This window comes from Homo sapiens, chromosome 14 (assembly GCF_000001405.40).
Source record: "Homo sapiens chromosome 14, GRCh38.p14 Primary Assembly".
Taxonomy (NCBI): domain Eukaryota; kingdom Metazoa; phylum Chordata; class Mammalia; order Primates; family Hominidae; genus Homo; species Homo sapiens.
Window position 1 is genome coordinate 35,278,416 of NC_000014.9, and position 12,150 is coordinate 35,290,565.

The following is a 12,150-nucleotide window of genomic DNA, read 5'->3' on the forward strand; positions in this document are numbered from 1 at the left end:
ATTGCTTGAACCCGGGAGGCGGAGGTTGCAGTGAGCTGAGATTGCACCACTGTACTCCAGCCTGATGACAGAGCGAGATTCCATCTCAAAAATAAATAAATAAATAAGGTTTCTTGTGCTTTCTATGACTGCATCAGAACAGAGAATGTCAGTATCCAATAGGATGCCAGTGGAATTCCCTGACGATTCCATCCATGCGGCTCTGCTGGAGCAGGGTAGTGTCCTAGGCTGGGAGAATGGGATGGAGCCTCCACCTCATGAAGTAGCTTCCTTTGGAGGTGGCTATGGCAGGTCTTCGGAGAGGTAAGTCCCTCACTCAGACTTGTTGCTTGAGATGTACTATATTACTGATTCTTTGAAAATAAATCATTCTTATATTTTATTCCTCTTTACAATGACCTTGCTCTAGAATCCCAAGTTGCTTTTTTTTCTATCCTGTGTTCCATGGCTGAGCAGTCTATTGCTATTAAGTTGTTGTACGTATATATTTTTCTATGCATATATACTCATTTTTTGTTTTTCTATACATATATACTTATTCTCTAGGAACTCTTTCGTAACATGTTTTTTTCACCTGACAGAAAATGAAAAATTTTCCCTGTTCTTACAGTCACTTCTTCCTCATGTATTCTTTTTTGTGTGTGTGTTTGAGATGGAGTTTCGCTCTTCTCGCCCAGGCTGGAGTGCAGTGGCGCGATCTCGGCTCACTGCAACCTCCGCCTCCCTGGTTCAAGCAATTCTCCTGCTTCAGCCTCCTGAGTAGCTGGGATTACAGGCATGTGCCACTATGCCCGGCTAATTTTGTATTTTTAGTAGAGACAGGGTTTCTCCATGTTGGTCAGGCTAGTCTCGAACTCCAGACCTCAGGTGATCCGCCCACCTCGACCTCCCAAAGTGCTGGGATTACAGGCATGAGCCACTGCACTCGGCCTCATGTATTCTAATAATTAATAATGTAAATTCATAAAAAGGGGCAGCCAGCTTAAACTACAGCATTGCTGGACACCATAAAATAGTATTTGCATAGCTGTATACTCACAAACTGCTACTCAAGGCTTGCTTTGTTCAGAAGGAAATCTGTGTTCACAGAAGCTGAACCCTGATAATAGCTGTTGGCTCAAATTAAGGGTCACGTCCTTTGGCACTTAGCGCTATTCTGGCAGGAGTGGTCAAATCCTTGATGTAATGGGTCTTTTCTAAGTCAGGCCCTCTGATCTCCAACTCCTAAAGAAATAAACTCTGGTCAGGCCATGTTTTTGAAGAGAACGTCTAAGGAACAATTGCTGCTTTACACAGATAAAGAGCTTTTTACTGCTTAAAGCAAATCATGTAACTCTTTGTTCATCAACACACCAAGGGAAGTTTCTGTGAGGAAATCAGTATTGAATAGTTTGTACTTTATACATGTTATAAGAATGTACTTTTCGGGCCGGGCGTGGTGGCTCACGCCTGTAATCCCAGCACTTTGGGAGGCCGAGGCGGGCGGATCACGAGGTCAGGAGATCGAGACCATCCTGGCTAACACGGTGAAACCCCGTCTCTACTAAAAACACAAAAAAATTAGCCAGGCGTGGTGGCAGGTGCCTGTAATCCCAGCTACTCGGGAGGCTGAGGCAGGAGAATGGCGTGAACCAGGGAGGCGGAGCTTGCAGTGAGCCGAGATCGCGCCACTACACTCCAGCTCCAGCCTGGGCGACAGAGCAAGACTCCGTCTCAAAAAAAAAAAAAAGAATGTATTTTTCGGCCTGGCGCAATGGCTCACGCCTGTAATCCCAGCACTTTGGGAGGCCGAGGCAGGTGGATCACCTGAGGTCAGGAGTTCGAGACCAGGCTGGCCAACATGGCAAAACCCTGTCTCTACTAAAAATACAACAACAACAAAAATGTATTTTTCTTCCACTCCCATTGCCAGTATCACCAGAGATTCCAACTCCATCCACATTTTGGTCTCATTGTTTCTTTTTTTTTTTTTTTTCTTTTTCTTGAGATGGAGTCTCACTCTATCACCCAGGCTGGAGCTCAGTGGCGTCAATTTGGCTCACTGCAACCTCCACCTCCCGGATTCAAGTGATTCTCATGCCTCAGCCTCCCAAGTAGCTGGGATTACAGGCACGTGCCACCATGCCCACCTAATTTTTGTATGTTTAGTAGAGACAGGGTTTCGTCATGTTGGCCAAGCTGGTCTTAAACTCCTGACCTCAAGTGATCAGCCCACCTTGGCCTCCCAAAGTGCTGGGATTACAGGCATGAGCCACCACACCCAGCCTGGTCTCATTGTTTCTTAACTCTGGTCTCATGATTTGTTGTTGTTGTTTGTTTTCGAAATGGGGTCTCACTGTGTTGCCCAGGCTGGAGTGCAGTAGCTATTCACAGTGGTCATAGCTCACTGCAGCCTCAAACTCCTGGGCTCAAGCGATCCTCCTGCCTCAGCCTCCCAAGTAGCCGGGATTACAGGCATGCACCACCACACATACCTGATTTTGTGACTTTTGGCTCCCTATGAGATGGCCAACCTTTTTGATTAGTTTCAGGATTTTAAACTTTCAAGTTCCTCATTTTGTCCACAACCTCCTTACCTGCCCCACTCCTTTAACCCAACCACCACTGGGTTAAACCACCATTGACCTGTTCTTAGACCTATCCCTTCCTCACCCAGGAAGCCTCTATTGACCTTTCCCATCTGACTTTGCTTGCCTTTCTCCCTACCCTGCCTCTCAAAGCATTCATGGGAGGGATGGCTTCAATAGCAGTGCAAATTCTTTCATACTTTTTACCTCCTTTGGTCTCCATCTTTTCAGTTCTAAACCTTATTTTGAGTAGCCACAAACCATTCCACTTTCTCCACTCCTGTATACCATAGTATTGCTAGAAAAGTCATGAAATTCCCATTAATTTCCTGAAAGAGCTCTCCCAACCTTTGCAGTCTTAACTCTGCAAAGGTAAGTTGCAAGCAGCTAATCTCCTGGAGCCTTCATTTCCTTTTCTGTTAAGTGGGGAAGATGGGCCATCACAGTGCTTCTCAAACTTAATAGGCATAGAATCACCTGGGGATCCCACTCAAAATGCCAGTTCTGATTCAGGTCTGACATACCCCGTGATGCCAATGCTGCAGACTGTAATTTGAGAAGTAAGGGCCTCAGTGAGCTCCACAATTATATAAAAAATAGTAACAAAACAACACCTGTGAGTCCAAGTCCTGAGTCAGTCTCATCATTCTCACACTCAGCAGACTTAACTGGAAACTAAAAGCCATCTGTTATGAACCTCTTCATCAATGTTTGCCTTTTCCAATAATTTTCCTCTCCTGAATCTTTTCTCCCTTTTCTTCCCTAGGTTACTTAAAAAGAAATTTTTTTTTAAATTATAAAATAGAGACAGGATCAGGTTGGTCTTGAACTCTTTGCCTCTATCAGTCCTCTTGCCTTGGCCTCTCAAGGTGCTAGGATTACAGGCATCAGCCACTACTCCTGGCCCTAGGTTACTTTTTCTACCTACATCCACGCTGTTCCTTCTTTCTGAATTGGGATCTTGTTCTCAGTTAATCCCTTTCCTCCAGCTCTTTCCCATTTACTTACAAATACCTTTAGGCTCTGACTGGACAAAACTGTGCTTTCCCAGGGATAGTTTCATAGCAACATTCTCAAAAGAAGGCACCATCTCTGCCATTGGTTTCTTTCCAATTCCACATTTGCAGCTGACCAACTTCACCTGAGACACTCAAACTGAACCACTTTGAAAACAGCTTATTCATAATAGTGTAATTGACAATAATGAAATTGGAAGTAACTATTCAAAATAAGGGAAGAAGTAAATAACTGTAATTTAATTTTTTATTTTTTGAGACAGGGTCCTGCTGTCACCCAGGCTGATGTGCAGCAGTGTGATCATGACTCACTGCAGCCTTGACCTCCTGGACTCAAGCAATCCTCCTGCCTCAGCCTCCTGAGTAGCTGGTACTACTGGCGCACTCTACCACCCCCAGATAATTTTCTAACTTATTTGTAAATTAAAAAAAAATTTTTTTTTTTACAGACAGGGTCTCACTATGTTTCCCAGGCTGGTCCTGAACTCCTGGCCTCAAGCAATCCACTTATCTCGGCCTTCCAAAGCGCTGGGATTACAGGATGAGCCATTGCACCTAACCTAAACGTAACTTTTAACGTTGCAATGATTAAAATGATACTTTGCACTTTGGGAGGTCAAGGCAGGAGGATTTCTTGCATCTAGGAGCTCAAGACCAGCCTGGGAAGCATGGTGAGATTCCCCCCATCTCTACAAAAAAGACAAAAATTAGCTGGGCACGGTGGCATGTGCCTGTCGTCTCAGCTACTCAGGAGGTTGAGGTAGGAGGATTGCTTGAGCCTGGGAGGCACAGGTTGCAGTGAGCCAAGATCGAGCCACTGCACTCCAGCCTGGGCAACAGAGTGAGACCCACACAGCCTGGGCAACAGAGTGAGACCCCACAGGGTCAGGCTGGAGTGCAAAGGAAAGATCTCAGCTCACTGCAACCTCTGCCTCCTGGGCTCAAGCGGTTCTCCTGCCTCAGCCTCCTGAGTAGCTGGGACTACAGGCGTGCACCACCACACCCAGCTAATTTTTTGTATTTTTTAGTGGAGTCAGGGTTTCACCATGTTGGCCAGGCTGGTGTCAAACTCCTGACCTCAGGTGTTCACTCACCTTGGCCTCCCAAAGTGCTGGGATTACAGGCGTGAGCCACCGTGCCCCACCGATACTTTGTACATTGGCATAGAATCAATGAAAAAGCAGCTCCAAAATAGTATGTCTAGTAAGATCCCATTTTTTAAATGAAGGAAAGAAAATACTTGGCTGGTCAGGTGTGGTGGCTCACACCTGTAATCCTAACACTTCGGGAGGCTGAGGTGGGAGAATCTTTTGAGCCCAGGAGTACGAGACCAGCCTGGGCAACACAGGGAGACCCTATCTCTACAAAAAAAAAAAAAAAGAGAGAGAAAGAGAAAAAATACTTGGAGGAAAATGTCTGGAAGGAATAACATTTCATTGATTCCACAATGTCAATAGGTATCTCTGGATGTTGGGTTGTGGATGATTTTTACTTCATCTTCTTCACAGTCTAAAATTTTTGCAATAGGTGTAATAGGATGTTAGACTAGAACTCTTTTTTTTTTTTTTTTTTTAGGAGATGGGGTCTCACTCTGTTGCCCAGGCTGGAGTGCCGTGATGCAATCATAGCTCACTGCAGCCTCGACCTCCTGGGCTCAAGCAATTATCCTGCCTCAGCCTCCCAAGTAACTGGGACCGCTGGCACACACCCTATAAGGTGGACACCACCACACCTGGTTAATTTATTTTTTGTAGATAAAGGGTTTTGCCATGTTGCCCAAGCTGGTCTCAAACTCCTGGGCTCAAGCAATCCTCCCAACTCGGCCTCCCAAAGTGCTAGGATTATAGATAGGCATGAGCCACCATGTCCAGCCTTTACAAATTTTTTGCAGATAATCTCTTCTTTCCATTCCTATTGCTGCTTACCCCAGTTCAGGCCTTCAAAAACTTTCACTTGGTCTATTATCAATAGCCTCCTGGCTGATGTCCCCAATGACAGTTCCTCATAAATACAGCTACAAGGTTTATCTTCCCAAAGCATAATTCTAGTCTTGCCACTCTCCTTGCTCAAAAACATTAAATGTCTCCCCGTAGCCTTCCAACTAGATAGAGCATAAATTCCTTAGCTTAGTATCCAAGGCCAGCTCCTTTCATTTGTACCCTAATCCAAAACATTTTTTGAGTCATACTTAGGTTAGGCTATTGCCTAGCTTGCCCTAAACACAGGATCTTTTTTCTTCCTCTGCTTGTTTATGCCACTCCCATTCCATGTTGCATTGTGGTGCCTCCCATATTGCTCCTAACATTGCTCTTAACACACCTGTTAAGAGTTCTCCCTGTTCTAAGCTGAGCTTGGACATGCATCTTCCAACAGGTAGTCTTACATTCCCTTTGGCCCGTGAGCATATAAGGTCATTTTCTCATCTGTGCTGCTCTGTTACACATTTCCTTGTGTATTACGGACTACCTCATGTTAGCTTTGCTTTCATTCATGTTTCATCTCCATGGAACTCTGGTGGGGACGCTGTCGGGTTCATCTGTGTGTCTCCCAGAGCAGCTAGCCCAGCTTCTTGCCCAAAGAGGGAGCTCAGTAAATGTTGAATTACTTTGGAGAATTTGTTTGAAAATATCTTCCTGATTTTTACCTCTAATGCCTACTTCTCCTTTAAGTGAATACCCCTCTTGCTCCTTGGTCTTTTGTGTGTGAGCTGGCTAAGTGGGAACTTAATCTGTGGTGTCTGATGCCTCACTGATCCTCAAAAAAACAGTAACTTCTCAGTGCCATCCTCTATAATCATATGATATCTTCAGTGAATTAAAGGTTTATTCATTAGACATCTACTCTGTACTTGGTACTGTGGTAACTGGGATAAAACTTGCTATGTACTTGTAAGACATCATCCCAGAGTTTTTAATCTTTGGAATGTTTCAGTGCCTAAATCTGCTGTCTGTGGTTGATTTTTGGAACTTGCCTTTGTTTCACCATTATGGATGAAATACATTTAGAGTGAAGTTTGAGGATCTCAGCTGAGGTTCATCAAGTCATTCAAAAGCAAGTAGAAAATAAAACTGGAGTCAGGTGCGATGACTGTAATCCCAGCACTTTGGGAGGCCGAGGCAGGAGGATCACTTAAGCCCAGGAGTTCAAGACCAGCCTGGGCAATATAGTGAGACATTATCTCTACAAAAAACTTAAAAATCAGCCAAGCATGGTGGTGCATGCCTGTAGTCCCAGCTACTTGGGAGGCTGAAGTGGGAGGATCGCCTGGGAGGCAGAGGTTGCAGTGAGCCAAGATCGTGCCACTGCACTCTAGCCAGAGTGACAGAGCAAAACTCTATCTCAAAAAAAACAAAAAACAAAAAAAAAAACCGTAGCACACTCTTGCTTTTCTATCAATAACTGGACTCTCAAGAACTGGTTTCTAAATTAGTGACTGAAAATATTGGTCAAAATGATCAGAAACCTCATTCATTTGCATTTTCTCTCTCCCTCTCTCCAATTACCCTCAAGAGAATTTGGTTCATTCTGAGCATCACAGATGACTTAATTTTGTGGTAAGAAAATAGGAATTAGAGTCAGCCAATTAGGAAACCTCAAGGAAGAGGAAGTGTCTCTAGGCTAAAGGGAAGGCTGTTGAGTCTTATTTCCTCTCTGTTCTTGACTCACTTTCTTAGTGACTGGCCAATCTCTGCACCTCCCTTTCCCCACCTTCAGGGAGCTGAGGGTGGGGGTGGGGAATAGAGTGAATAAAGTCTAAATAAAGTTCATAAAGATCCCAAGATGTAGGGAGGTACCATGAAATAATTGATCTTGCAGTTCCATCCCCCATCAACATTCATGGGTGAAGGCTGCATGTGTGTGTGACACGATAGGTAAGAATTAGCTGCTTTCCAAATTAAGACAGAGTGAGTTTCACTTCTGAATAATAGCAGTGTGCAGTGCAGGCCCATGCAGTACCTATTTGGTTTCATTCTTTACTAGGGATAGATCAAAGCGAAATAGCCAACAATTCAGGCCTTATTCATCAGTGCGCCCCCTCCTTTCACAAAGAAGCTGAGTTCCAGTCAAATAGTAGGTGGCTTAATTTCACCGTAGTGGACTTCTATGCCTTTTAAAGTGGGTACAGCATACTCACCTGTTTGAGAGAAGAAGAAACTGAGATTATGGTCACCAAGTAATCTGTGGCAAGGCTCAGATTCAAACCCAGTGCTGCTGACACTCAGAGCAGAACCTGACCATTTTCAAAGTTCACAATATGACCGTTCGCTTCTCCCACCCTTCCCCATCTTATTTTTCACTGGAACATTTGCTGTTCTCTCAAGCTATGAAGGGCTTCCTGTGTTAACATGCCTAAGGGGAAGCTGTATGTTAAAAACCACCAACGGTTAAGCCCAAGCCAGCTGGGGTCTTCCGTTGTTTCTTCCAGTATTGTGGGGAGACCCATGAGAATTCTCAGTGTTTTTCAAAGTCCTTGGCTTCCAGAAACAAGAAGCTGAGCATCGGGTTTTCATTTAAGACAGAGCTTGGAAAAACAAGAAATATCAAAAGCCGTAAGAGGATAATACTGAAGTTATTATAGCTAAAAAACAAGGGTGAACTGAAAAGCTAAAGGTTTTGGCTCTATAGAGGGGTTCATGTATAGTTGTATTTAAATGTCCTTTGGGTTGAAGTGATACAAGTTTATTCCCTCTCAAACCAAAGGACAGCATTTATTCTGGGGAATGGCTGAGATAATCCAGGCCCAGAACCACACTGACTGGTTAGTAAGGGGATGGCACAGAAGGGAAATGATAGTTGTGTGACTTCTATGTTGCTAAACACTGTATTGCATCCACCATTGGTTCCAGAGGGTAGAAGAACCACACTAGATGTTACAGACAAGGGGGCAGAGGAGGGTTGCTTTATTGGAATCTGGGGTTTGAAGGGCTTATGAGAAGCATAACCTCATGTAAGTTGCCTCATGTAAGTCACAGAAGTCACACCCCAAACCACATTTGGTGCTCCATTTGTCCGTTTCCTTTACCCATAAATTATAGAACTAGAGTAGAGAAAGTACCCTTTTCTCCTCCTCCAACACTCATCCAGAATGACTGAAGTCCTAGGTAGCCAACCATAGCTACTGGGGTGCAAGAAGAACTGAAGGATCTGAGAAAGACAAAAAAGGGAAAGATACAGAGCCAGGTTCTTGTCCTCAGGGAGGAAGCTCTGAATTAGTGAAAATCTGGCCAGAGAGCTGGGCAGAGTCCTACGTCCCTTTCTTTACCCAGAACTGCTACATCCCTAGCTCTGTCCTTATTACAGCTGTCCTTTGGGGCCCCTTAACATCAGGATACTCCTCTAAGATGCTGTATTGCAAGTGGCCAACTCACAGGGCACTGTGTTTCAACCCCTGCTAATATCATATGGAAACACAAATAGGCTTCTTTTTTTTTATTCCCTGGCTCACTGAAACTGCCGGCAGAGCACCTTAAGCTAAGGGCTACATTCTTATCTTGCCTTTAAACACCATGTGATTCAGCATGTCTGCAGTCTCTGGGAATCTACACTGCCACTTTCTACCTTTGCCTTGTGGGTAACCCTTACCTTCCACCTACCTCCACCCCCAGGGGAGAATGTGGGCCTTGCCAAACGGAGGCCCCCAGGAGATTTTCCAAGACTCACGAGATGTCAAGTCATCTCTAAATTTTTTCAAAAAACCAGAAAGTCATTTCAAAAAGTCTAACTTGATGGCCCCACAGAGAGGAAGATCAAACTTTCCACACAGACACAGCAAGTCTGCCACCCAGGCTTGTGTTAGAGCTGCAGTATTGGTACCCAGACATTTCTGAAAGCTCCCTGACCCAGGGGAAAGTCCACCTGAGTGAGTAGTTTAGCTGCTGCCCGGAGCCCGTTGGCACATATTCACGAAGTCGGCTTCCAGGGGATTTCCCTTTGAATGGAATTGGCAAACGTTTTGTCTTTCTGAAAGATTTCCCAGAGGAATTCATTTAGCTATGTGGAAAAATCTCAAATTCTAATATAAAATCTCTGACCTTTTAGGGTTTTGAAATTTGGATCTCTCATTTACTGACAAATCTTTTTGAATAAAGAAAAACAATTAACATAATAGAAAACCTAAACAGTGAGAATGCATATTCAACAAATGATTGGAGTGCTTACCTCAGGCTAGGCACTGTTTGGTATTGAGGATACACTGGTGAACAAAACAGATGTGGCTAGTTGGGCATGGTGGCTCACGCCTGTAATCCCAGCATTTTGGGAGGCCGAGGTAGGCGGATCACTTGAGGCCAGGAGTTTGAGACCAAACTGGCCAACATGGCAAAACCCTGTCTCTACTAAAAATGCAAAAATTAGCCAGGCGTGGTAGTGCACACCTGTAATTCCAGCTCCTTGGGAGGCTGAGGCACAAGAATCACTTGAACCCAGGAGACGGAAGTTGCAATGAGCCGAGATCGTGCCACTGCACTCCAGCCTAGGCGACAGAGCGAGGCTCCATCTCAAAAAATAAGCCAAAAACAACAACAACAACAACAAAAACAGATGTGGCCACCACCCTCAAGGAGCCTGATTTTTAATCCTAGCTTTCAATTTATGTTTGTGTTGAAAATGAGGTTGATTCCTTCCAGGAAGTATCCTTTAGAGTATTAAAATATATACACCATCCAAAATCCTATGCCCAGCTTAAATACCATACCACAAGAGGGGATGAAGATTTGTTTGAATGTGTGAAATAATTCTCATAGACTGCAGGGTGCGTAATATGTGTGATTTGAAATATCCCATCACAGGCCAGGCATGCTGGCTCACACCTGTAATCTCAGCACTTTGGGAGGGCAAGGCAGGAGGACTGCTTAAGCCAAGCTTGTCCAACCCATGACCTGCAGGCTGCATGTGGCCCAGGATGGCTTTCAGTGTGGCCCAACACAAATTTGTAAACATTCTTAAAACATTATGAGATTTTTTTGCAATTTTTTTTTTAGCCCATCACTTATCATTAGTGTTAGTGTAGTTTATGTGTGGCTCAAGACAATTCTTCTTCCAATGTGGCCAGGGAAGCCAAAAGATTGGACACTCCTGGCTTGAGCCTAGGAGTTTGATACCAACTAGTAACTGTCACAAATGAATTTAAATTCAGGTTTAAATAAAAAAGGATGAACTAACTCCCACACCATTAGGGATTCATTCATTCAACTAATATTTATTGAGCACTTAATATATGCTGGTTATTGTTCAAGTTGTCTGAGCTGTATCAGTGAACAAAACAAAAATCCTTGCCATCACAGAGGTTAAATTGTGGGTGGGCATGAGGGACAATAAACAGTGAACAAATTTATGATTTTTTTTTTTTTGAGACAAGGTCTCACTCTGTTGCCCAGACTGGAGTGCAGTGGCATGATCTCAGCTCACTGCAACCCCCACCTCCCAGGCTCAAGCGATTCTCCTGCCTCAACCTCTCCCGAGTAGCTGGGATTACAGGTGCACACCATTACTGCATGGCTTTTTTTGTTGTTGTTGTATTTTAATAGAGATGAGGTTTCACCATGTTCGCCAGGGTGGTCTTTAACTCCTGACCTCAAATGATCCACCCACCTCAGCCTCCCAAAGTGCTGGGATTACAGGTGTTGCACCACGCCCAGCCTAAATTTATGAATTATATAACAGAAAGAAAAAAGATACTCAGGAGGCTAAGGCCAAAGGATCCCTTGAGGCCAGGAGTTTGAGGCTGGCCTGGGCAATACAGTGAAACCTAGTCTCTAAAAAAAATTTTTTTTAAACTAGCCAGGACTGTTGGTGTGCAGCTGCAGTCCCAGCTCCTTGGGAGGCTGAGGCCAGAGGATCACTTGAGCGCAGGAGTTCAAGGCTGCAGTGATCATGCCACTGCACTCCAGTCTGGGTGACAGAGCAATACCGCATTTCAAAAAAAAAAAAAAAAAAAAAGGCAGAATAGCAGAGCAGGAACAAATGAAGGCAGAGGGGGAGAAGTATTAAGAAATTAAGACTGCTACAAAGTTTTGGCTCTGAAGACTTGGAAAATGTGGTACAAGGGGCAGGAATTCGCTTGAGAGGGAATAGATGAGATAAGGAGTTCTCTTTCAAACGTGGGGTTTTGAGGTGCCATATGTCTCAATGTGAAAAATATCCCATTGGCAATTAGAGAAGATCCAGTTCCAGAGAAGGGTCCAGCTAGAGACCTAAATTCAGGAGACATCAGTATAGAGCCAGCTGTTGAGGCTGTGAGACTAAGTTCATCCTCCTAGCAGCCTTACCGAGAACTCTGACTATGCAGGCAAACAGTAGGAATTACAGTATACCAGGCTCTTTCAGAGTCTGAGAAGACAAAAGTCTTCAAAAGGTCAAGAGGAGTTGGTCCTGAGAGTAGGGACCTGAACCAGAAGCAAGGGAAAACTTTTATCAGTCCACTTGGGAACTAGCCAGTGCTGGAAAGTACCCTTTGTGCCAGAGATGCTGTATGCATTTACCGTTTTCTTAACCATGTTTCAGTTTGGGATTTTTTAGATTAATAAAATAGAAATTAATTTTTAAAAACACTTGAGAAATTGGAATTC

General features: G+C 44.2%; 1 protein-coding gene and 1 long non-coding RNA gene across 5 annotated transcripts in view, besides 3 other annotated features; both read left to right on the forward strand.

Annotated features, from left to right (window-relative positions):
- Positions 1-12,150, forward strand: part of PRORP-PSMA6 (PRORP-PSMA6 readthrough) — a 195,633-nt gene that overhangs the window by 156,577 nt on the left and 26,906 nt on the right. For all 4 annotated transcript variants that reach the window (NR_182666.1, NR_182669.1, NR_182668.1 and 1 more), the window contains one exon: positions 138-303. This is a non-coding gene — a long non-coding RNA (PRORP-PSMA6 readthrough). The remainder of the gene's footprint in view (positions 1-137; positions 304-12,150) is intronic.
- The window catches only part of PSMA6 (proteasome 20S subunit alpha 6), a 38,936-nt gene continuing 26,928 nt past the window's right edge, over positions 143-12,150 (forward strand). Inside the window, exon 1 of the mRNA NM_001282234.1 lies at positions 143-303. Within this exon, the coding sequence (NP_001269163.1) occupies positions 285-303 (19 nt within the window). The 5' untranslated portion in view covers positions 143-284. The remainder of the gene's footprint in view (positions 304-12,150) is intronic.
- Positions 7,331-7,430: an enhancer, noted in NCBI's record as "active region_8266". NCBI's record gives its function as "activates an Ori minimal core promoter by ATAC-STARR-seq in GM12878 lymphoblastoid cells {active_cell/tissue: GM12878}" and the evidence as "EXISTENCE:reporter gene assay evidence [ECO:0000049][PMID:35858748]".
- Positions 8,288-8,397: an enhancer, noted in NCBI's record as "active region_8267". NCBI's record gives its function as "activates an Ori minimal core promoter by ATAC-STARR-seq in GM12878 lymphoblastoid cells {active_cell/tissue: GM12878}" and the evidence as "EXISTENCE:reporter gene assay evidence [ECO:0000049][PMID:35858748]".
- Positions 9,218-9,277: an enhancer, noted in NCBI's record as "active region_8268". NCBI's record gives its function as "activates an Ori minimal core promoter by ATAC-STARR-seq in GM12878 lymphoblastoid cells {active_cell/tissue: GM12878}" and the evidence as "EXISTENCE:reporter gene assay evidence [ECO:0000049][PMID:35858748]".